The sequence below is a fragment of the Homo sapiens genome, chromosome 9 (genome assembly GCF_000001405.40).
Source record: "Homo sapiens chromosome 9, GRCh38.p14 Primary Assembly".
Taxonomy (NCBI): domain Eukaryota; kingdom Metazoa; phylum Chordata; class Mammalia; order Primates; family Hominidae; genus Homo; species Homo sapiens.
In genome coordinates this window covers 102,214,319-102,238,719 of record NC_000009.12, presented here as the reverse complement: position 1 = coordinate 102,238,719, position 24,401 = coordinate 102,214,319, and the positions used below count along the sequence as shown (strand labels likewise).

At 37.6% G+C, this 24,401-nt stretch overlaps 1 long non-coding RNA gene across 2 annotated transcripts in view; it reads right to left on the bottom strand.

The window, feature by feature from the left end:
• The window catches only part of LOC105376188 (uncharacterized), a 42,808-nt gene extending 20,989 nt beyond the window's left edge, over positions 1-21,819 (bottom strand). The window contains exons 1-5 of one of the 2 annotated variants that reach the window (XR_930188.3): positions 21,742-21,819; positions 9,258-9,440; positions 5,664-5,796; positions 2,157-2,297; positions 535-688 (exon numbers count right to left, since the gene is read on the bottom strand). This is a non-coding gene — a long non-coding RNA (uncharacterized LOC105376188). Of the gene's footprint in view, positions 1-534; positions 689-2,156; positions 2,298-5,663; positions 5,797-9,257; positions 9,441-21,741 lie in introns of those variants that run through there. The other variant, XR_930189.2, reaches the window with a different exon arrangement.
• Positions 21,820-24,401: the final 2,582 nt, after the last annotated feature.

Genomic DNA, 24,401 nt, shown 5'->3' with positions numbered 1-24,401 from the left:
GGTTCCTTGATCAGAAATCAAACCTGTGCCACAGCCAGGAAAGCACAGAATTTTAGCCTATAGACTGTAGGATGGATTGCTATTTTGTCAATCTTTCAGGGCACTCAAGGCAGACAATTTGAGATTTATTTTAATTGCAAGTTGAACCAGCTGCCTCTTCATGGAAGGTGAAGGGTATAATTTTCTAGGTTTAGAATAAATTTTTACAGATGATGTTTCCTGAAGAGGGCTGGAAGGCGCAATCCCAAAATCCCCTGAAAAAAAAAAAAACAAGTACTCCCAGGAATAGACTCATATTATGAAGGCAGTCCCTTTGAGTGCAACTGAAGAGCAAGTGTCCTCACAAAACTGAAGTGTGAGCACACCCTACATAGCATGAGTGTAGCCCAGAGTGTGAGTGTACCCAACAAAGTGTGGGTATACTCCATCAGTGGGTAATCTGTGGAACTGGGTGGGAAGAATCACTGAAATAATAAAGTGCCAAAAACCTCATCCTAAGAACAAAAGAAAGATATTGGGTCCAAGGGGCCTTACCTCATTTCTCCCTGGTGCAGCCAGGAAGATAAGTGAGCTCAAGGGGTTCTTGCAGGTGCAAATGCATTGGTCCAGATAGTGTTGGGAAAAAGCAAGGGTGCCACTTCAAATCCCATCCTCGTCATCAAGAAATGTTAAGAAAAGACCATAAGCTCTGTGGAGGAAAAAAGTAGAGCTTTATTTTCTATAAAAACTAACCTGAAGATTGGGAAGAAACAGTCTTCAGTACAAGTGAAATTGTATTCACCAAAGAACAAAGGAAAGGTCTGGCTTAAATAAGGAAAGTTCTTGCCTTCATTCTCAATTAGGTGCATCCATGCAAATGAAGAAGTTAAACTTGTTCTGCTCTAATTTCTCTAAATAGGCTCTGCTAACCTGGTTTCTAAGCCCCAAACCATAAGTCACTGTAAGATGTTTCTGTCAAAGGTCCTGTGTGTGGGAGTGAGGGGAGGAGGTGTTTCTGGCTGTAGTTTATCTTGCCACAGACAAGAGGCAGTGGTTTGGCCTGACTGTGGAAAGGGAGGTCCTGTTACACTTTTACACCTTTCTGAGAACAGAGTACATGAGAAGTCCCTCACCTCGCTGTGGCTGCCTACTTTTGTTTTAACTTTCAGCACCTCAGTTAGCCATAGGTCGTCCATTTTGTCTTTTGGCTGAGGACGTACGTAATCATGGAAGAATTTTAAAGTGTGTCATATTATCTTAACATTAGGTATAAAACCAATTTGATAATAAATTTTGTTTTTTAGGTCACTTCTGTTTTCTGCCATGATGGGGTAACACTGACCCTTCCCAAGTAAACTACTAAAAGCAAACTAAACAAAATATGTGAAGCAATAATTTGCACATATTGGACAGGAGGAAATGCAGAAGTGTAACTTGTATGAGAAGAAAACAAATGTGGTAATACCCATCGTGGTTTCAGCTCACTTCCTGGAGCATTTCCAGGATGCAGTGCAGGCAAAGGAAACCCAAACAGAGCCTAAGAAAAAAAGTGTTAAGAATTTGGGGTGGCCAAAATGGTCTCAGTTTGCTGAGCAGAGTACCAGAAATGACAAATCTATAGATCTAGCTGGAATAAAGAAAGAGAGAGAGAGAGCACCCAGGATAGTTCCCCCATTAGTCTCAAGCTAAGTACTGAGCTTAAGTATTTAAGGAAACTTGCCAAAATCCAGGAGAAAATAAACCCTAAAAGGCTGTTTTAATGGGTAAAGATAATCATTTTAACAACTATATGTAAAAAATATGTAAAAAATAAAATAAATAGGCTGGGCACAGTGGCTCATGCCTGTAATCCTAGCATTTTGGGAGGCCAAGGAATTCAGATTGCCTGAGCTCAGGAGTTTGAGACCAGCCTGGGCAACATGGTGAAACCCTGTCTTTACTAAAATACAAAAAATTGGCTGAGCATGGTGGTGTGCACCTGTAGTCTCAGCTACTCTAGAGGCTGAGGCAGGAGAATCGTTTGAGCCCAGGAGGCAGCTATAAAAAACTATAAAAAAAAACTCACACCTGTAATCCTAGTTAGGAGGCCAAGGTGGGAGGACACTTGAGATCGGGAGTTCGAGACCAGCCTGACCAACATGGAGAAACCTCATTTCTACTAAAAAATACAAAATTACCCGGGTATAGTGGCACGTTTGTAATCACAGCTACTCCGGATGCTGAAGCAGGAGAATCGCTTGAACTTGGGAGGCAGAGGTTGCAGTGAGCCAAGATTGTACCATTGTACTCCAGCCTGGGCAAGAAGAGTGAAACTCCGTCTAAAAAAAAAAAAAAAAAAAAAAAAAAAACTAAAACAAACTATAAAAAAAATCAACACATTAAACTTAATCAAAATTTTTAAGAACAATTTTCAAAGATACTATTACAGAAATGATAAAACAAGTCACAGACTGAGAAACAATATTTGCTAAACATATATCCAACAAAGGACTTTCATTTAAAAAATATAAAAAAAACCTCTTCAACTCAATTATTAGTAAAAATAAAATAAAATTTTTCAAAAAATCTAACAAATGCTTCAACAAAAGAGGAATAGGAGTGGCCAACAAGCCTATAAAAAATGCACAACTTTGTCAGTATGCAGTAAATGCAAATCAAAACCACAATCAGATACTACTATAAACATCCTACACACACCTTGCAAGTGTTAGCAAGGACCTGGAACAACTGGAATTCTTATACACTGCTGATGGGAATCTAAATCAATACAACCACTTTGTAAAAACAGGTTAGAAGTTTATATAAAAGTTAAACATACACATATGCTATGACCCAGCATTCTACTCTTAAGTAAGTATTCACCTGAGAGAAATGACAGTATATGTCCACACACCAACTTGCATACATATATTCATAGAAGCTTTATTTATAATAGCCAAAAACTAAACAAAACAAAATTCTATCAGTAGTACAAATTGTAATATATCTATGGAATGAAATACTAGTAATCAGCAATGAAAACAATAAAATGTGGACAACATGGATAAATCTCAAAATAACTGTTGTGTTAAAAAAGTAATTTAAAATGCATGATACTATTTCTGTAAAACTTTAGTAAGTACAAGCTAATCTATAGTGACAGAAAGGAGACCAATGGTTGTCTGCAGAGGAGAAGGAGAGTAAGGGATTGCAAATGAACAAGATGATGTGTGGATGCTATCTTAATTGTGGTGATGGTTTCACAAGTGTATATGTATGTCAAAATGCATTTTGTTTTTGAGACAGGTCTTGTTCTGTCAGTCACCCAGGATGGAATGCAGTGGCACAATCTCAGCTCACTGCAACCTCAACCTCAGCCTTCCTAGCTCAAGCGATACCCCTACCTCATCCTGCCAAGTAGTTGGAACTACAGTCATACTCCACTGTGCCAGTATAATTTTTGTAGTTTCTGTAGAGATGGGGTTTTGCTATGTTTCCCAGGTTCCTTTCAAACTCCTGGGCTCAAGCAATCCGCCTTCCTCGGCCTCGGGATTACAAGCATGAGTTACCGCACCCAGCCAAAACTCTTAAATTGTGCACTCTATGTATGTAGAGCTTATTGTATGTCAATTATACCTCATTGAAACAATAAAAAGAATTTGCTCTTTAAAATTATTCTATTATTTCCATATAAATTTTGTAAAAGTAAAGGATAGACAAATGGTCAATTCCACTACTCATTTAGCAAAACAATGTAACTCTATTCCACAACCATGTATCATTATAAAAATATGAGCTCATTTCAGTTGCGAATATAATTGCAAATATTCCAAAACAAAATACTAGCATTTAGTTATTAAAAAATAATAAATGCCTTTTTATCAAGTAGAATTTATTTCAGGAATACCAGAATGGTTTAGTAAAGCAATAGTGTAATAGAAGACATTAGAAAAAATGAAATTTCTCTTAATATTCTTAAAATATTTTGTTAAAGAAAATAAATTCCAATCATAAACTAACATTCATTAAAACCATTCACTTTTAAGTCCAGAACAAGATAAAAATACATTGTTAGTTCACATGATTGATTCTGTAATTTATTAGCACTACAATATTTAAGGAAAAAAGTAACACTCTTTATGGTGAATTATTTACTTAAAAGGAAATTAATCCAATTAAAAATCATTTGGATTTTTTTGAAGTAATAAAACAGTTGTTTTATAATATAGTTTTATACAAATTAAATGTGCCAATATTAATATTCATGGTCTTTTACATCTTGTCATGAGAAAAACTAATATCAGACTAGCCCTCCCACCATTGTCATGAGAAAAACTAATATCAGACTAGCCCTCCCACCATAAACAAACAACTAGAAAACTGAATAAAATATAGGAAACATTTATTTTCAGATACTGGATAGCAGTATAACTGTGGTTCCTAAGAAAGAAAACAAACAAAACAAAATTAGCCTTTATGATATTGGAGGCTTTGTATCTGGAAGCCCTTTTTTGGTTTATTGAGGTCTTTGTTTTGTTTGTTTCATTGAAACTGAGTCTCACTTTGTCGCCCAGGCTGGAGAGCAGTGGCATGATCTCTGCTCACTGTAACCTCCGCCTCCCAGGTTTAAGCGTTTCTCTCGTACCTCAGCCACCCCAGTGGTGTACCACTGCTCTCAGCTAATTTTTGTATTTTTAGTAGAGACTGAGTTTCGACCTGTTGGCCAGGCTGGTCTCAAACTCCTGACCTCCAGCGATCCACCTGCCTAGGCCTCCCAAAGTGCTGGAATTACAGGCGTGAGCCAGCCACCACGCCCTGCTGGAAGCCCTTTTCAGATACCGATACATTGAAGACAGAGAAAGCGACAGACAGTTGAGTTTGTGGGGAGTTGCTGAGGATTCAGAGAGGGGAAAACTGAAGAGAGGAGGTTCAGAGATCTGCAAGTGGTCCCTTTGTTGATAAACAGGGATTTCACTCACAAAAGGCACATTTTATTCAAGGTAAATTGTAACACAAATTTAAAACAACTTTCTTATATACCAATGAAAATCTGTTAGGATATTTAATAGACAATCAATCATAACAGAAAAAAAATCAAAATTCTAGGAGTCAATTGTACCTGAGTAACATAGAATCTTTTTGAAGAAATATACTGTATGTTTTTGTGGAATATGAAAGATGATGTGAATAAATGAAGTAAATGGAAACACATGCCATGTTTGGTTTTTTTATCCCAATGTGTGAGGTCAATAGAAGTGATGTTAAAATACAATATTTTGTTTCATTTTAATAAAAACTGATTTCTAAAGTGAAAGATGTCTTTTTTTCTTTCCAGGTTGTTTTTCATATTTAACCAATGCCTTCCAAAGACATAATAGTTTTCGTCAATATACCTAACAGTTGTTCTTTGTAGAGTATCTGTTTTTTTTTAACAAGATAGATACAAATATATTAACCAACAATTATCCTAGAATTTAAAATACAAACTGAAAAGGCTAAGGCTTAGAAATCACAAAAATTTTGACAACTCATGGAAATTATGAGTGTATATTTCAGTAATTCTGGAGCTAATATATGATTTTATACATGAGTTTAAAAGATGATAAAGGATCTTGAAACACAAAATGAGAGACATAGAAAATTCCTCATAATATACAATTACTACTACTCCTACCTCCTTTCCTTATTTGACATCAATTTCTTACCTAGAAACCAGTGAAGTCTGTTGGGTGAGCCTCTCACATATGTCCACATCTTAAAATTCATCAATCCAATAATAGCAGTCAACCTTGTAAAATAGCTCTAGCTTCATCACTCAAATGTGTTTCTAATTTGAAACTTCAAGCAGAGAAGAGAAATAATTTATTGATCTCTGGTCACATAAGGCACTTAGTAGCTAATAATAAGATAGCATTACAAAAAATAAACTAATAGTTTATTATTTAAATAATTATATGTTATAGTTACCATATATTTAGACTGTGTCTATAACAAGATATTAGCACTGAAATGAGTCAGTTAAATTACTTTTAAAGAGTATTAGCAAAGTGGTAAGATCTAGCAAATGAGGTAAAAATGAGGTCAGTGGTGAGATATCAAAAGACATCAACTCCTATCGAGGAGAAATAAAAACACATGTAATTTCAAGATCAAAAAGGGGGAAAACACGAAACCTTAGTGGGCACACACACAAGCAGCTGAACATCAAGAGCAGCACAGAGTGGCGGGGTGTCGTGGCAGAGTAGGGAAGAGGCACCTGAACATAGGCTGAGAACAGTCAGAATCCAGGGGAAGATCACCTTCCCACTCCATTCCCACCTTCCGGCTCCCCATCCATTTCACTGAGAGCCACCTCCACCACTCAATAAAACCTTGCACTCCTCCTTGGAGCCCATGTGTGATCTGATTCTTTCAGTATGCTGGGCAAGAGCTCAGGATACAGGAAGCAGTCACACTGTCCCTCTGCCCTTGCCAGAAGGAAGAGGGTCCATTGAGCTGATTAACACTCATCCCATCTGCAGATGGCAGAGCTGAAAGAGCTTTGTAACACTGGGATTGCAGGTGCCCTTCCCTAGACATTACCAAAAGGCTGGAGCCCAGAAGCATTGGCCGGCCTCTGCACCTGCCCACCTGCATGTTCCCCCCATGGGTTTGAGCTGTCCGGTGATGGAGCAGGCAAGCCACACCCCTGTCGCACACCTGTGAGGGGAATCAGGGAACTCTCCCGTTTCAGTATGGACTGAGTTTGAGCCTTCCTAGTTGAGGGACAAAAATTATTAAAACTACTTAAAAGTTCCACCTTTTGAGACTTTGGGCACAAATCTCTACCATACCTAAGTGCTCAGGATTCAAAGTGTGACAAAGATGTTAAATAAACATTTCTGTGTTTATCTCCATGGAATCCAATTAAGTATCAGGGGGAAATTAACTAGTGAAAGCAAGAATCATTGATGATAAAGGAGGGTGATGAGGCTTACCTAAATGGCCTTCCAGGTGTAAGATTTAGAAAAGTAGAGTCTAGAACATGAGAGAAATAATCAGTTCTGAGGCATAAAGTAGCTTGGTGCACCAAGGAACTGAAAGAACCTCCCTCTGCTGGAGCATAGAAAGGACATGAATTCCATGTAATCAAACATAAAAGATAATTTATGTAATGAGTCAGATTACACAGGACCTCGTGGACTGTGTTAAGGGTAAGTGCATTGGGATGATCAGTGGTGAAGGTCTTTGAGCAAAGGAACTGATTTGATCCAAGTTACTTTTTACCACTATAAAACTTAAATTCAAAGTTCACCATTTTTAAAAATAAGAAAGCAAACAGGAGGGAGGGAGGGAGGACCAGTCTATTGATTAAGTCTATATCACAATACAATACAGTCAAATTTCTCTTCTTTTTTTTCTCTCTATATAGATATTTTAAAAACCAAAATTTATGTATGCATGTATATCATTACATGTAACATTTTATATACACACATATTTCCTATAAACATATAAAACATTTCAAACACACACAAATATGTTCGGGTTTTTTTGTTGTTGTTCTTAGAAGGAAACAAATCAACAACTATAATTTATATACTGATGGTGTATGAAAGGTGCCAATACAGCTGGAGGAGAGGAGAAAGTTATATACAAGGAGAATTGTGGGTTAGTGATATATGTTGTTACAGAATTCATCAGGTTCAGAGAGTTGTAAGTAATGGTCTAGTACCTTGAAGTATAGATTGTAGATTGTAGAAAATGTGATCACACTTTGTCAAATTTTTTTGATACTGAAAGGAAGCATTACTAATAATTACACTGGGAAAAAGAAGAGTAAATAGATTTAAACTAGAATGAAATACCCTAGCTATATTAGAATGTCTCTTACTGCTTTTAGTAAGTGTGGTGGGGATAATTTCTTTAATAATTTACAGGAGATAAGGGAGCTAAGCCTATTGCCTATAACATCATAGTACACCCTTCTGAAGGGTAACAAAGGTTTAGCACCTCCCCAAATTCCATCCCTGAGTGAAGATTAGAAGACTTAATTTGGAGTACAGGACAGAAACTGGAAGGAAGGTGGAAAGTTTGAACATGATGAAGGGTAATGGGAAAACTTTAAGTTTAGAAAAACTTGACAGGTAGCCTCAGAATCCAAACATTCCTTCTGGGAGAATGTGATTTGGCAGAGCTGAATGGTAACACCCATGGGATGGTTCCTCAGAAGCTATTTCATGCTCGAGACATGAACTGTGGAGTCCATTACCATCATAGGTTTTGTAGAAGTTATGCCCCAGACTTTAGAATCTTATTTAAACTAAGATTCCTTTGGAAAAACAGAGTTGCCACTATACACTTAGGCCTTTGTGCCTTTCTAGAGCTTTTACTATCATGTGTCCTATCAGCAAATTTTCCCTCAATTCATTCCACAGGGTAAACTAGGTGATCTTTGGTCTATGATATGACTGGCTGTAGCATACACAAAAGCCCCAGAAGTTGGACCTGGAAAACAAACTGGGAAAGACACAGTGTGTAGAGTGACCATGTTCCTATCCACAGTATGGGCAAGACTACAGAAGATAGTGTGATCCAGCACTTACTGGCCATAGAGGCCACAAAGAGATAGACTTGGGACACAAGCCAAGTAACAAACTACAAATATCTCATGTTCTTGATAATCTCAAAGTCGTAGCTATTTGAGAGCAGATTCAGTCTTGCTTTTTATACACTATTCTTGCCAGATACATGGGAGAGGCTGGGTATATTTTGGCTATCTTCCCCTCAATAGTCATAACTGTCCAAGAACGACATTACTAATATAATATCCTTACAGCCTTTGTAGCTTAAAAACTTAGTGAGGAGAGAGGATTTTTATTAAGCCAACTATTATTTTCAAGACAATGTAGTTATTGGAAACTTGATATGAGCTTGCAAGATTCTGCAGCGGGGCAGAAGTATTAAAAGTGCACAAGTCCAACTCTCTTCCAGTCAAATCTGAGACAATGACATATGGCACCAAATGACAAAGAGAAATGGATGTTCATTCCTTTGAGCAAAACCTGGCAGCAATATAGTGATTTAATGGCATGAGAAACTTGGAGGCTTATCACGCAATAACCAGTCATCACAGGATAGTAATCAGGGGTGAAAAGAGAAGAGAAAGATCCATTTGACTGCTTTTTTGGGCTGGCACTTCACTTGTGATTTTCTACCTACTATCGAGCATAACATTCTCAGACAAGCTGATATGAGTAAATATTGGATCAGTGTTAATGGTTGGGGAAGGAGAAACATAAATTAAAAGGGAGACTCACCTGATTTACTGGGATCCTTATGTTTCTAATGATACAATAGAAAGTTCATGGGTTTTGGGTCACAACTCTCTGTACCTGGATTCCAGCTTTTGTCACTGCTTAGATGAGACATGTCATGTGACTTACAAACCTCAATTTCCTCATATACACAGTGGATCTAATAACATCTACCTCACAGGGTTTCTGTGCAAATTAAATAAGGAAGAACAATTAAAGAATTGTTATTCTGCATGGTGCTTAGAAGTCATTTACTATGGAGCTAGAGGAGTACTGCAAATGCGGTATAAGTTGCTCACAAGAGTGCAATAATGTGATCTGAACTTAAGTCCCACACAAGAACAGCTAGAAAGAGCCATTTCCAAGTTACATTTTAAGATCACTCTGACAGCTGATTAAATAACAGAATGAAGAAGTGGAGATATAAAACCTTTGAGACCAGTGAGCAGGTTACAATAATCTGAGTATGAGATGCTTATGACTTGGAATAGGGAGGTCGCGGTGCAGTTAAAAAAAATGTGGACAGATCAGTTGCCTCTTGTGAAACATGGCATCAATCTGATCTGGTCATAAATCAGAATTGGGAGGTGAGTAAAACAGTCAAAGAATAGAAATTTTGGCAGGGAGAAGATCATTTTCAGAAATTTAAGATTTACAAATAGAAGCAAAAAAGCATATTTTTAAATCTCTTGCACTTTATATGGAAATGGAAATGCTCATTCAACTTGGTCAGTCACATACTTTGCTACTCTAAAAGGTATTGCAATAGTTTAGAACTTCTTAGTTAATTAAACTTTTATTTGCCTTATTTTAGATAGCACCTGATACATACATAAAGCATTCAGAATTCTCAATTCAGGTGTAATTTTACCAAACTTGAAATATCAAACAAAATGCTATCTGTCATTGTAACCTCTATCAAATCTTATTACTCCTTACAATCATTCAAATTCCAATGGCTTTTTTGTGTTTTGTGATTTAATAAGCCACACTAAAATGTATATCTTAATTATACACTTCAGCTAACTCATGAGTGCATATACTACAAGTGTTCATTTCACAGTCAGACAATTATTTACTACAGTCTTGAATTTATATCCAAAAATCTACAATTTAAGGAAAGCGGTTCTTTGCAATGTATAATATTAATGATGCATGAGAATGTTTACAGACGGCTGAACTAATAAAATCAATTTCAAATCAGTCTGTTAAGTGTGTTTCCTTGGTTGGAATTGGCAAACCAACCAGTAGAAGACAACGAAACAGAACAAGGAAGGAAAACATCTTGAAACAACTGTTATTCTTTTGAAATATCAACCTTTGTAGCATTAACTTGTGTGCTTTACCACGTGACTTTTATTAACACATTTTTTCTAGTGTATCACCATCTATTTTAATGTTACGTATTTATTGCAATTTTATAGCACCACTCCAAGCTTATAGAATACTTGCAGAATATGTACTTCTTAAGTATATTTTTCTTAAACATATGTTTTTACATACATATGTAATTATATATTAGATATATAAGTATATATTTTATAACAGAAATTATAAGATGCATTATAGATATAAATCATATTACTTTCAAACATACACCTATATCTATAATTCAAAATGAATATTTTTTGCTTAGTTTTTATCTCCCTCCCAGCTGGGTGTGGTGGCTCACGCCTATAATCCCAGCTCTTTGGGAGGCTGAGGCTGGTGGATCACCTGAGGTCAGGAGTTCAAGATCAGCCTGGCCAATATGGGGAAACCATCTCTACTAAAAATACAAAAATCAGCCAGGTGTTGTGGCGGGTGCCTGTAATCCCAGCTACTTGGCAGGCTGAGGCAGGAGAACAGCTTGAACCTGGGAGGCAAAGGTTGCAGTGAACCGAGATCGTACTATTGCACTCCAGCCTGGGTGACAAAAGTGAAACTTTGTCTCAAAAAAAAAAATAAAAATAAAACACTCCCCTAGGATAGCTTTGATATGAAGAAAGTTAAAATTATCTATTCCAACAATTATATTTTATAATTGAATAAACCATAATTCAAAAGTTAAATGATTTATCCAATATTACATACTGACCAATTCCATCTTACAATACCTAGTGATCTTTCAGTCTTTCTTTTTCTGCACATGCTCCATTCTTTCCAGCCTCCTTTATTTCCTCTTTACTGTTTACACAGTGAAATGTGTAGCAAAAATAGGTATCTTAAGAGACAAATGGGATACAGCATACAAGGATTTCTTCCCATAGTCAATGTATTTAAGAGTGTTGATTTTAGAAAGAAACATGGAGGTAGTTTATATCATCCAAATTTATAGGTAAATTGAAATCATAAAAATTTACCCAGAAACCACATTATTCACTTATTTAACCGCACTTACTATGTGACAGGCACTATGAATTTTTCTGGATATTTAAGACCAACAAAACAGGCTAACTATAAAGCTTACAGTGGACTGAGGGAGACTCAAGCTAAACGTCTCTTAAAATTTCTGTATTTATAATCAATATCGGTAAGTGAAGAAAAATCAGTTAATGGATATTGACATTGAAAATTAGGAGCAACTGGGAAGGAAGGCTTGCTTTCTACAGATTGGTCAGAGAGGACTTCTCCCTGACAAGATGCTTTTATGTGAGGCTAAGAACAATTGAGCCCTGTGAAGAACTGGGTGAAGGGTGACATGAGCAGTGGGAAAGGCTTGAGTTACAGGCTTGAGGAGGGAAAGTCGCGGGCATATTTGACGACCTACTGATGTCCAGTGCATTTGAAGAGTAGTAAGCAGGGGAGAGATAATCACCCAAAGAGGTAGAGAACTCACATGGGCATGAGTAGTTTCTTCCTCTTAGGCTTAGATGAAGCTATCATTACATCCATAATTTCTCCACCTATTGTTTATGATTAACCACACCATGGGCAAGTCGTATTTGTACAGTCATTTGCATTTCAAAATCACGTTCGCACATTTGTCATTTTATTTAGTCCTCATGGGAAACTTCTAAGGCAGCCAGATCAGGCTTTAAAAGCAGCATTTACACAGGAGTTAACTGAAGTCTAGGGTATAATGTTGTATTATTGTGTTGTGTTATGTATTTTATAACATAGGTCTTGTCAACACTTTCTATTTTTTGTGTTTTGTTTTCATTTTCAAATCTAACTACCTTATGTTCTAGTGTGCAGAGTTTTCTACCTTGTGGAGAATGCTTAGTGTTATCAAATATCTTTTGCGTGCAGTTTGCAACTGCCACATTTGCTTGTGTCAGCTATTTTTGTGACTCTTTCTGACTCACAGGAAAAGCCATTTTTATCTCTAGTAACCCCTTTAGATTCCATAAAATTCCCATAGTTTTGTTTTGGAAAGAAAAACTGTGAAATATTCAGTCATATTTTTAGCTATTTTCTTAGAGTCTTCAGGGTGTATGTCCAGAGGGACCTCCCAGCATAGGGGAATTGCTCACATGGGGACATTGAAAGATAAAACCCATGGTTCCCAGCCTAGCACTGTGGGGGAACTTTGTGCTAACACTGCATTCTTTTCATAATAAGCTCTGCAAGAAGATACAAAGTAGCAAAGTCCAGAAATTGCTCTGATATATCATAGGGCCTGATATTAACTTGAAAAGTAAACTCTATAATAGTAGAGTAACATAGAACAGAAGAACTTTCTGACCTTCCCTGTGGTGTTACAATATACTTGGATTTGCTAAGAAAGAGGAGGTTATTTTCCTTTATATTTTTATTCTTTGAATTCTAATAGTTTCCATCACATGGAAGTGGAACTCTGAAATGTGTAAATGTACTTTTTAAATGGGACTAGTTCATACACAATTGTTCATTTATTAATTAAAGTTATTTTGAGCACCTTCTCTTGCAAATACTATTCTAGGTGCTAAGATTACAAATAAAGATTAATGAAGAAGAAAAATAAGCAGACATTGTCCTCATGGTGCTAGAAGAAGGGACAGATAATTAAAACATGCAAGTCATACAGCCTAATAAGCAACACAAATTAGAATATGATAAATGCTACAATAGTGGTACACACATGATAATTGTTACCAAATAAGAATTGTCCTTGACACAGACTAAAGGAATAAAGTAGATGTCTTAAAGGAGATGATGGCTGAACTGAAACTAGAAAGACAAGTAATAGGTTAAAATTAAGTTTCAGAAATTAAAGTACTTGATAGATTTCATATTAGGACATCTTATTATGAATAAGCAAGAGACATTATATAAGGAGTAAAATTTCAGGAATTAGATTACCCAAGGACAATTTAATGACATACTGCTATTATATCAGCATCAATTACTGTCTAAAATAATACTCTGTTGTATCTTTTGCACTTTTTGCAGACTTTCAGGTACAAAAACATCCTCGCCTACATTTGTATTCCACCATCTCTATCAAACTTTAGAGTAACTAACTTTATAGTAAACAGCTTCTAGGTTTATTTTACCCTATCAAAGCTTCAAAAAAAAGAGGTCTCTTTGTAGTTTTTTAAAAAAATATGTATTTTAGTCTAAACTTGCTGTTGTATAAATTTTCTAAATTTGCTTTTGAAGGCAAAACCCAGATAGTGGCTTATTGGCTCCAAAGAGCTCAGAACCTAATTACCCCTTCTTCTCTACAAAACCCATAAAACTTTTACTGTACTATAACTGTTATTCTTTCTGTTATTTTTGTTAATAAAGACAAAACAAAACAAAATAGCCCTCCTGGAACTGGTTACACATCAGGGTCTCATCAAGTTCCACAACAGTGAACCTCAATTTTGTTACTACTAAATATTTATTTTCTTTCGATATAATTGCCCCATGTTTTTGCATATCTTCCAATAATGTCCTAAATTATGCTTAAAATATCATACTAACTAGACTGGTAAAACGGTAAGCTACTGGAGGCTTTGGATTTTTTTAAATCATCTTTTTAAACTTTTAGAAAAATAAATTGAACTTGAACAAAGTAAAAATTATGTGGTTAGCACAATATTTTAAATCAAACCCATTATTTGTAGAATTATAATAATTAACACATAAAGTAGATCTGGAAGTAATCTAATCAGCTTCACATTGCAAAAACAAAACAAAAGCAAAACAACAACAACAACAAAGAAACCTAATACGGTATCTTTGAAGAGGAACACAATAGTGACATGTTTTTATCTATTTGATGAAAAGCTAACAGAATTCATTTTGGAAAAGTGATAATGGCTTTTCAAGTGTATCTTTGGTCAAATCTTATAAGTAAACAATCTGATAACTGTTAATATACTTCCTTTTATAAATGAATAAACGACAAAAATAACTAACACTTTTTAAGCAATAATATACAACAGGCACTGTGTTGCTTTACATAAATTGTCTTTTTAGTTCTATAATAAAGGAATAAGGTAAGTTCTCAGCAATATCCCTGGAAATTCGTGGCACAGAAAATTAATTCACTTGCCTTTGGACATGAATATAACAAGTGGCAAAGTTAAGTACTCATAAATAACAGGCTATATTGCTTTCTTAATATGTTATACAGGACTGAAAATTTTCCCAAGATGGCCGAATAGGAACAGCTCTGGTCTACAGCTCCCAGCGTGAGCGACGCAGAAGACGGGTGATTTCTGCATTTCCAACTGAGGTACCGGGTTCATCTCACTAGGGAGTGCCAGACAGTGGGTGCAGGTCAGTGGGTGCGCGCACCCTGCTCGAGCCACAGCAGGGAGAGGCATTGCCTCACTTCGGAAGCGCAAGGGGTCAGGGAGTTCCCTTTCCGAGTCAAAGAAAGGGGTGACGGACGGCACCTGGAAAATCGGGTCACTCCCACCCGAATACTGAGCTTTTCCGACAGGCTTAAAAAACGGCGCACCACGAGAGTATATCCTGCACCTGGCTCCGAGGGTCCTACGCCCACGGAGTCTCGCTGATTGCTAGCACAGCAGTCTGAGATCAAACTGCAAGGCGGCAGCAAGGCTGGGGGAGGGGCACCCACCCTTGCCCAGGCTTGATTAGGTAAACAAAGCAGCCTGGAAGCTGGAACTGGGCGGAGCCCACCACAGCTCAAGGAGGCCTGCCTGCCTCTGTAGGCTCCACCTCTGAGGGTAGGGCACAGACAAACAAAAAGACAGCAGTAACCTCTGCAGACTTAAATGTCCCTGTCTGACAGCTTTGAAGAGAGCAGTGGTTCTCCCAGCACGCAGCTGGAGATCTGAGAACAGGCAGACTGCCTCCTCAAGTGGGTCCCTGACCCCTGACCCCTGAGCAGCCTAACTGGGAGGCACCCCCCAGCAGGAGCACACTGACACCTCACACAGCAGGGTATTCCAACAGACCTGCAGCTGAGGGTCCTGTCTGTTAGAAGGAAAACTAACAAACAGAAGGGACATCCACACCAAAAACCCATCTGTACATCACCATCATCAAAGACCAAAAGTAGATAAAACCACAAAGATGGGGAAAAAACAGAACAGAAAAACTGGAAACTCTAAAAAGCAGAGGGCCTCTCCTCCTCCAAAGGAACGCAGTTCCTCACCAGCAACGGAACAAAGCTATATGGAGAATGACTTTGACTAGCTGAGAGAAGAAGGCTTCAGATGATCAAATTACTCTGAGCTACGGGAGGACATTCAAACCAAAGGCAAAGAAGTTGAAAACTTTGAAAAAAATTTAGAAGAATGTATAACTAGAATAACCAATACAGAGAAGTGCTTAAAGGAGCTGATGGAGCTGAAAACCAAGGCTCCAGAACTACGTGAAGAATGCAGAAGCCTCAGGAGCCGATGTGATCAACTGGAAGAAAGGGTATCAGCAATGGAAGATGAAATGAATGAAATGAAGCAAGAAGGGAAGTTTAGAGAAAAAAGAATAAAAAGAAATGAGCAAAGCCTCCAAGAAATATGGGACTATGTGAAAAGACCAAATCTACGTCTGATTGGTGTACCTGGAAGTGATGGGGAGAATGGAACCAAGTTGGAAAACACTCTGCAGGATATTATCCAGGAGAAGTTCCCCAATCTAGCAAGGCAGGCCAAGGTTCAGATTCAGGAAATACAGACAATGCCACAAAGATACTCCTCAAGAAGAGCAACTCCAAGACACATAATTGTCAGATTCACCAAAGTTGAAATGAAGGAAAAAATATTAAGGGCAGCCAGAGAGAAAGGTCGGATTACCCTCAAAGGGAAGCCCATCAGACTAACAGCTGATCTCTCGGCAGAAACCCTACAAGCCAGAAGAGAGTGGGGGCCAATATTCAACATTCTTAAAGAAAAGAATTTTCAACCCAGAATTTCATATCCAGCCAAACTAAGCTTCATAAGTGAAGGAGAAATAAAATACTTTGCAGACAAGCAAATGCTGAGAGATTTTGTCACCACCAGGCCTGCCCTACAAGAGCTCCCAAAGGAAGCGCTAAACATGGAAAGGAACAACTGGTACCAGCCGCTGCAAAATCATGCCAAAATGTAAAGACCATCAAGACTAGGAAGAAACTGCATCAACTAACGAGCAAAATAACCAGCTAACATCATAATGACAGGATCAAATTCACACATAACAATATTAACTTTAAATGTCAATGGACTAAATGCTCCAATTAAAAGACACAGACTGGCAAATTGGATAAAGAGTCAAGACCCATCAGTGTGCTGTATTCAGGAAACCCATCTCACGTGCAGAGACACACATAGGCTCAAAATAAAAGGATGGAGGAAGATCTACCAAGCAAATGGAAAACAAAAAAAGGCAGGGGTTGCAATCCTAGTCTCTGATAAAACAGACTTTAAACCAACAAAGATCAAAAGAGACAAAGAAGGCCATTACATAATGGTAAAGGGATCAATTCAACAAGAAGAGCTAACTATGCTAAATATATATGCACCCAATACAGGAGCACTGAGATTCATAAAGCAAGTCCTTAGAGACCTAGAAAGAGACTTAGACTCGCACACAATAATGGGAGACTTTAACACCCCACTGTCAACATTAGACAGATCAACGAGACAGAAAGTCAACAAGGATACCCAGGAATTGAACTCAGCTCTGCACCAAGCGGACCTAATAGACATCTACAGAACTCTCCACCCCAAATCAACAGAATATACATTTTTTTCAGCACCACACCACACCTATTCCAAAATTGACCACATACTTGCAAGTAAAGCTCTCCTCAGCAAATGTAAAAGAACAGAAATTATAACAAACTATCTCTCAGACCACAGTGCAATCAGACTAGAACTCAGGATTAAGAATTTCACTCAAAACCGCTCAACTACATGGAAACTGAACAACCTGCTCCTGAATGACTACTGGGTACATAACGAAATGAAGGCAGAAATAAAGATGTTCTTTGAAACCAATGAGAACAGAGACACAACATACCAGAATCTCTGGGACACATTCAAAGCAGTGTGTAGAGGGAAATTTATAGCACTAAATGCCCACAAGAGAAAGCAGGAAAGATCCAAAATTGACACCCTAACATCACAATTAAAAGAACTAGAGAAGCAAGAGCAAACACATTCAAAAGCTAGCAGAAGGCAAGAAATAACTAAAATCAGAGCAGAACTGAAGGAAATAGAGACACAAAAAACCCTTCAAAAAAGTAATGAGTCCAGGAGCTGGTTTTTTGAAAGGATCAACAAAATTGATAGACCGCTAGCAAGACTAATAAAGAAAAAAAGAGAGAAGAATCAAATAGATACAATAAAAAATGATAAGGGGGATATCACCACCGATCCCACAGAAATACAAACTACCATCAGAGAATACTACAAACACCTCTATGCAAATAAACTAGAAAATCTAGAAGAAATGAATAAATTCCTCGACACATACACTCTCCCAAGACTAAACCAGGAAGAAATTGAATCTCTGAATAGACCAATAACAGGATCTGAAATTGTGGCAATAATCAATAGCTTACCAACCAAAAAGAGTCCAGGACCAGATGGATTCACAGCCGAATTCTACCAGAGGTACAAGCAGGAACTGGTACCATTCCTTCTGAAACTATTCCAATCAACAGAAAAAGAGGGAATCCTCCCTAAATCATTTTATGAGGCCAGCATCATTCTGATACCAAAGCCTGGTAGAGACACAACAAAAAAAGAGAATTTTAGACCAATATCCTTGATGAACATTGATGCAAAAATCCTCAATAAAATACTGGCAAAACGAATCCAGCAGCACATCAAAAAGCTTATCCACCATGATCAAGTGGGCTTCATCCCTGGGATGCAAGGCTGGCTCAATATACGCAAATCAATAAATGTAATCCATCATATAAACAGAGCCAAAGACAAAAACCACATGATTATCTCAATAGATGCAGAAAAAGACTTTGACAAAATTCAACAACCCTTCATGCTAAAAACTCTAAATAAATTAGGCATTGGTGGGACATATTTCAAAATAATAAGAGCTATCTATGACAAACCCACAGCCAATATCATACTGAATGGGCAAAAACTGGAAGCATTCCCTTTGAAAACTGGCACAAGACAGGGATGCCCTCTCACCACTCCTATTCAACATAGTGTTGGAAGTTCTGGCCAGGGCAATTAGGCAGGAGAAGGAAATAAAGGGTATTCAATTAGGAAAAGAGGAAGTCAAATTGTCCCTGTTTGCATACGACATGATTGTATATCTAGAAAACCCCATTGTCTCAGCCCAAAATCTCCTTAAGCTGATAAGCAACTTCAGCAAAGTCTCAGGATACAAAATCAATATACAAAAATCACAAGCATTCTTATACACCAACAACAGACAAACAGAGAGCCAAATCATGAGTGAACTCCCATTCACAATTGCTTCAAAGAGAATAAAATACCTAGGAATCCAACTTACAAGGGATGTGAAGGACCTCTTCAAGGAGAACTACAAACCACTGCTCAAGGAAATAAAAGAGGATACAAACAAATGGAAGAACATTCCATGCTCATGGGTAGGAAGAATCAATATCATGAAAATGGCCATACTGCCCAAGGTAGTTTATAGATTCAATGCCATCCCCATCAAGCTACCAATGCCTTTCTTCACAGAATTGGAAAAAACTACTTTAAAGTTCATATGGAACCAAAAAAGAGCCCACATTGCCAAGTCAATCCTAAGCCAAAGGACAAAGCTGGAGGCATCACACTACCTGACTTCAAACTATACTACAAGGCTACAGTAACCAAAACAGCATGGTACTGGTACCAAAACAGAGATATAGATCAATGGAACAGAACAGAGCCCTCAGAAATAATGCCACATATCTACAACCATCTTATCTTTGACAAACCTGAGAAAAACAAGCAATGGGGAAAGGATTCCCTATTTAATAAATGGTGCTGGGGAAACTGGCTAGGCATATGTAGAAAGCTGAAACTGGATCCCTTCCTTACACCTTATACAAAAATCAATTCAAGATGGATTAAAGACTTAAACGTTATACCTAAAACCATAAAAACCCTAGAAGAAAACCTAGGCATTACCATTCAGGACATAGGCATGGGCAAGGACTTCATGTCCAAAACACCAAAAGCAATGGCAACAAAAGCCAAAATTGACAAATGGGATCTAATTAAACTAAAGAGCTTCTGCACAGCAAAAGAAACTACCATCAGAGTGAACAGGCAACCTACAAAATGGGAGAAAATTTTCACAACCTACTCATCTGACAAAGGGCTAATATACAGAATCTACAATGAACTCAAACAAATTTCCAAGAAAAAAACAAACAACCCCACCAAAAAGTGGGCGAAGGACATGAACAGACACTTCTCAAAAGAAGACATTTATGCAGCCAAAAAACACATGAAAAAATGCTCATCATCACTGGCCGTCAGAGAAATGCAAATCAAAACCACAATGAGATACCATCTCACACCAGTTAGAATGGCAATCATTAAAAAGTCAGGAAACAACAGGTGCTGGAGAAGATGTGGAGAAATAGGAACACTTTTACACTGTTGCTGGGACTGTAAACTAGTTCAACCATTGTGGAAGTCAGTGTGGCGATTCCTCAGGGATCTAGAACTGGAAATACCATTTGACCCAGCCATCCCATTACTGGGTCTATACCCAAAGGACTATAAATCATGCTGCTATAAAGACACATGCACACGTATGTTTATTGCGGCATTATTCACAATAGCAAAGACTTGGAACCAACCCAAATGTCCAACAATGATAGACTGGATTAAGAAAATGTGGCACATATACACCATGGAATACTATGCAGCCATAAAAAATTATGAGTTCATGTCCTTTGTAGGGACATGGATGAAATTGGAAATCATCATTCTCAGTAAACTATCACAAGAACAAAAAACCAAACACCACATATTCTCACTCATAGGTGGGAATTGAGCAATGAGAACACATGGACACAGGAAGGGGACATCACACTCTGGGGACTGTTGTGGGTTGGGGGGAGGTGGGAGGGATGGCACTGGGAGATATACCTAATGCTAGATGATGAGTTAGTGGGTGCAGCGCACCAGCATGGCACATGTATACCTATGTAACTAACCTGCACAATGTGCACATGTACCCTAAAACTTATAGTATAATAATAAAAAAAAAGAAAAAATATATGTTATATAGGTTATGCTAACTCTTAACTTTATCCCTAAGTAAACATTTATATATTGTTATTTTTCATGTTGTATATTAAAATTTCATTTTTATGCTTTTGATAGATGTCTAGTTTGCAAGGACTTTCAATTTTTTAATTCTTCTTTTTCTTTTTCTTTTTTTTTTTGAGACGAAGTTTTGCTTGTCACCCAGGCTGGATTACAATGGCACAATCTCGGCTCACTTCAACCTCTGCCTTCCGGGTTCAAGCAATTCTCCTGCCTCAGCCTCCAGAGTACCTGGGATTACAGGCACCCACCACCACGACCAGCAAATTCAGCTAATTTTTGTATATTTAGTACAGATGAGGTTTCTTCATGTTGGCCAGGTTGGTCTCGAATTCCTGACCTCAGATGATCCACCTGCCTTGGCCTCCCAATGTACTGGGATTACAGGCATGAGCCATTGCACCTGGCCAAATTTTTTAATTTTTCTAATCTCTAGCTACTTAGTAGGTACAAGTATGAGAATATAGAAACACAATAGCATCTTTACTTAAACAGTCACTCACTGCATTAGTTTGTGAGAGCTGCTGTAACAAAATACCACAAACTGGGTAGCCTTAAAACAGCCTTTGCAAAATTATGACTGAAACAGTGAAAGAGATCTAATCTAACCAACTCCATCTTGCTTCTAACCTCTAAGCTGTCCTTGTTCATTCCTGGGCATAGGCTGAACTAACTTTGGGAGGAACTTAGTTTATAGTTTAAAACAAAGACGATAACAACCCTTTCCCAAAACAACCCTCCTTCTTGCCCAGAGACTAGACTGCCTTTGTAGGACTAATATCAGCCACAAGATTAGAAATTAAGATTTAGGAGTCATGCAGCTGGAGGCTACAAGATTCTCACCCTCCCTAAACTGCTTCTAAAATCAGTACCTGAGATATTTTGCAGACCCTGCACTTGATGGATCAGCTAGCACCACCCACATGTATTAACTGGCTCATCTGATCTTGTAGCCCCCACCCAGGAACTGACTCAGTGTAAGAGGACAGCTTCAATTCCTTATGACTTCATCTGCTACCTAACCAATGAGAACACCTGGCTCACTGGCTTCCTCCCACCCATGAAGTTGTCCTTAAAAGGTCTGATCCCCAAATACTTGGAGAGACTGATTTGAGTAATAATAAAACTTCAGTCTCCTGCACAGTCCGCTCTGTGTGAATTATTCTTTCTCTACTGCAATTTCCCCTTCTTGTTAAATCGGCTCTGTCTAGGCAATGGGTAACCCATTGGGAGGTTACAAACTGAATATGGGAAGTTCATTATCTCACAATTCTGGAGGCTAGAAGTCCAACACCAAGGTGCCAGCAGAGTTGATTTCTTATGAGGCTTCTTTCCTTGGTGTGTAGGTGGCTGCCATCTTTCCTCTTATTCATGTGTTTTCTGTGAATGTCTGTGTCTTAATCCCTTCTTTTAAGGACACCAGCCATATTGGACTAGGACCAAACCCAATGACTATATTTAAACTTAATCACCTCCTTAAAGACTCTATCTTCTGGCCAGGTGAGGTGGCTCATGCCTACAGTCCCAGCACTTTGGGAGACCAAGATGGGCAGATCACTTGAGGCCAGAGGAGTTCAAGACCAGCCTGGCCAACATGGTGAAACCCCATCTGTACTAAAAATACAAAAATTAGTTGGGCATGGTAGTGCTCACCTGTAATCCCAGTTACTCAGGGGCTGAGGCATGAGAATCGCTTTAACCCAGGAGGCAGAGGTTGTGGTGAGCAGAGATCATGCACTGCACTCCAGCCTGGGCAATGCACCGAGACTCTGTCTCAAAAAAAATAAAATAAAATAAAATAAAGATTATCTTCAAATAAAGTCACCTTCTGAGGTAGTAGGGGTTAGGACTTCAACAAATGAAATGGTGGGGGGGCACAATTTAGCCAATAATAGTCACTAAATTTGATTCTGTTTTGTGTTAAAGATTCATTGACTTTAGCATAGAACCAAAACCACTGAATATGTGCACGACTCCATAGGGCACCATTCACATATAGTAAAATGTACACATTCTGGTCAGTCGTACAGTCCTTTTCCTAGAACAGATCTTAGAATTGCCACAGCCACTTTTCAGGCAAAATACTTTTTATTAATTTTATATAGCTATGACAATATAGATCTCTCAGTAAAGCTAATGATTGAGCTTTGTATAGTTCTTTTGTTAAAGCTAGTAATTAAGCTTTAATTTGCTGAATTATAAATGGATTGCATTTGTTTGCTAGAGGTCAATTCCTTCATACTGAAACAAAGTTATGAGAGCCAAAAAGATATATTTCACAAAATTGAATTGTTTTGATGCTTTGAAAGTAGATTTCAGGATTTTACCAAGCACCGTAATTCCAATAATATGTTTATCTTAAATTAATGATTAACGCAATTGAACAATACTGACATTTTAAAACCAGTATTATTTAAATTAATATGTCTGTGACTATCAACCTTTAGAAAGTGTTTCAGACACAGAACAGAATAAAAAACATGATGAACACTATAAAATTAAACAGTGTAATTCACATACATAGTATTTTACACAAATAGTATAAATATATTAATTTCACAAATAATGATTTCACAACAAATATGTTATTTTTGTTTTCATCCCAGAAAATGTAGAAAGTACAAAATGTTTAAAGATAGTGAATATTACAAATGATATTTGTGAAGACTCTGCATTCTATTATGTTCCCATGAAAAGTGAATTTTGTTCTATCAGACAATTAACTTGGCTGAACCCAAACTCCAATCTATACCTCCTTTTTGTTAGGCAGCAGCTGAAACATACTCCATTTTTTTTTTTCAGTTTCTAGTTGCTACGTTTACCTAAATCTCCTGTGTTCTCCCAAGCATTTATACATTGACAGATAACCACATAGTTGAGCACATTTCAAATGTAGATTTGGGGGCCTGTCATTTCTGTGACTTCATCCTTTCCAGAATTTCCCTCTGAGCTTTTTGTCTCCTCTTTTAGGCACAAACTCTATCCTCTGACCTCAAGCCAAGTATGCATGTGTAAATGTGTATATATGTGTATCAAAGTGATGGGCCAGCAACTGCAGGAAACCTCATCCAATTATCCAGCTTTGGAAGAGCAACTCTGGATGCCACCTTTCATCTTTTACTTTCAAATTTTCTAACCCTAAGAGTCAGAAACAATTAATATTTGGATACCACTGCTCCAAATAGAAACCACAAAAGAAGAAATGTAAAACTATTACTTTATATTGATAAGAAAAATTAAAAATGCATCACCCATGCATGATTTAAATAACATAAATTGAAGGAAAAGTAGAGCCTAGGTTTTACATATAAGACTCAGGTCGACGTTAGATGGCTTAAATAATCTCTGAAATCACTGTCACTTTCACTAACATAAAACTTCCAACTGGTATACATCTTTATCACTTAAAATGTTATTTCTTGGGATATCCAAAGCTATAGCCATCTTTAGCATTCATTCCACAACTCAGCTGAGTGTCACAAAACCATGTACAAAATCTATTGTACATATCATAGAGGCAATTGCAGATGAG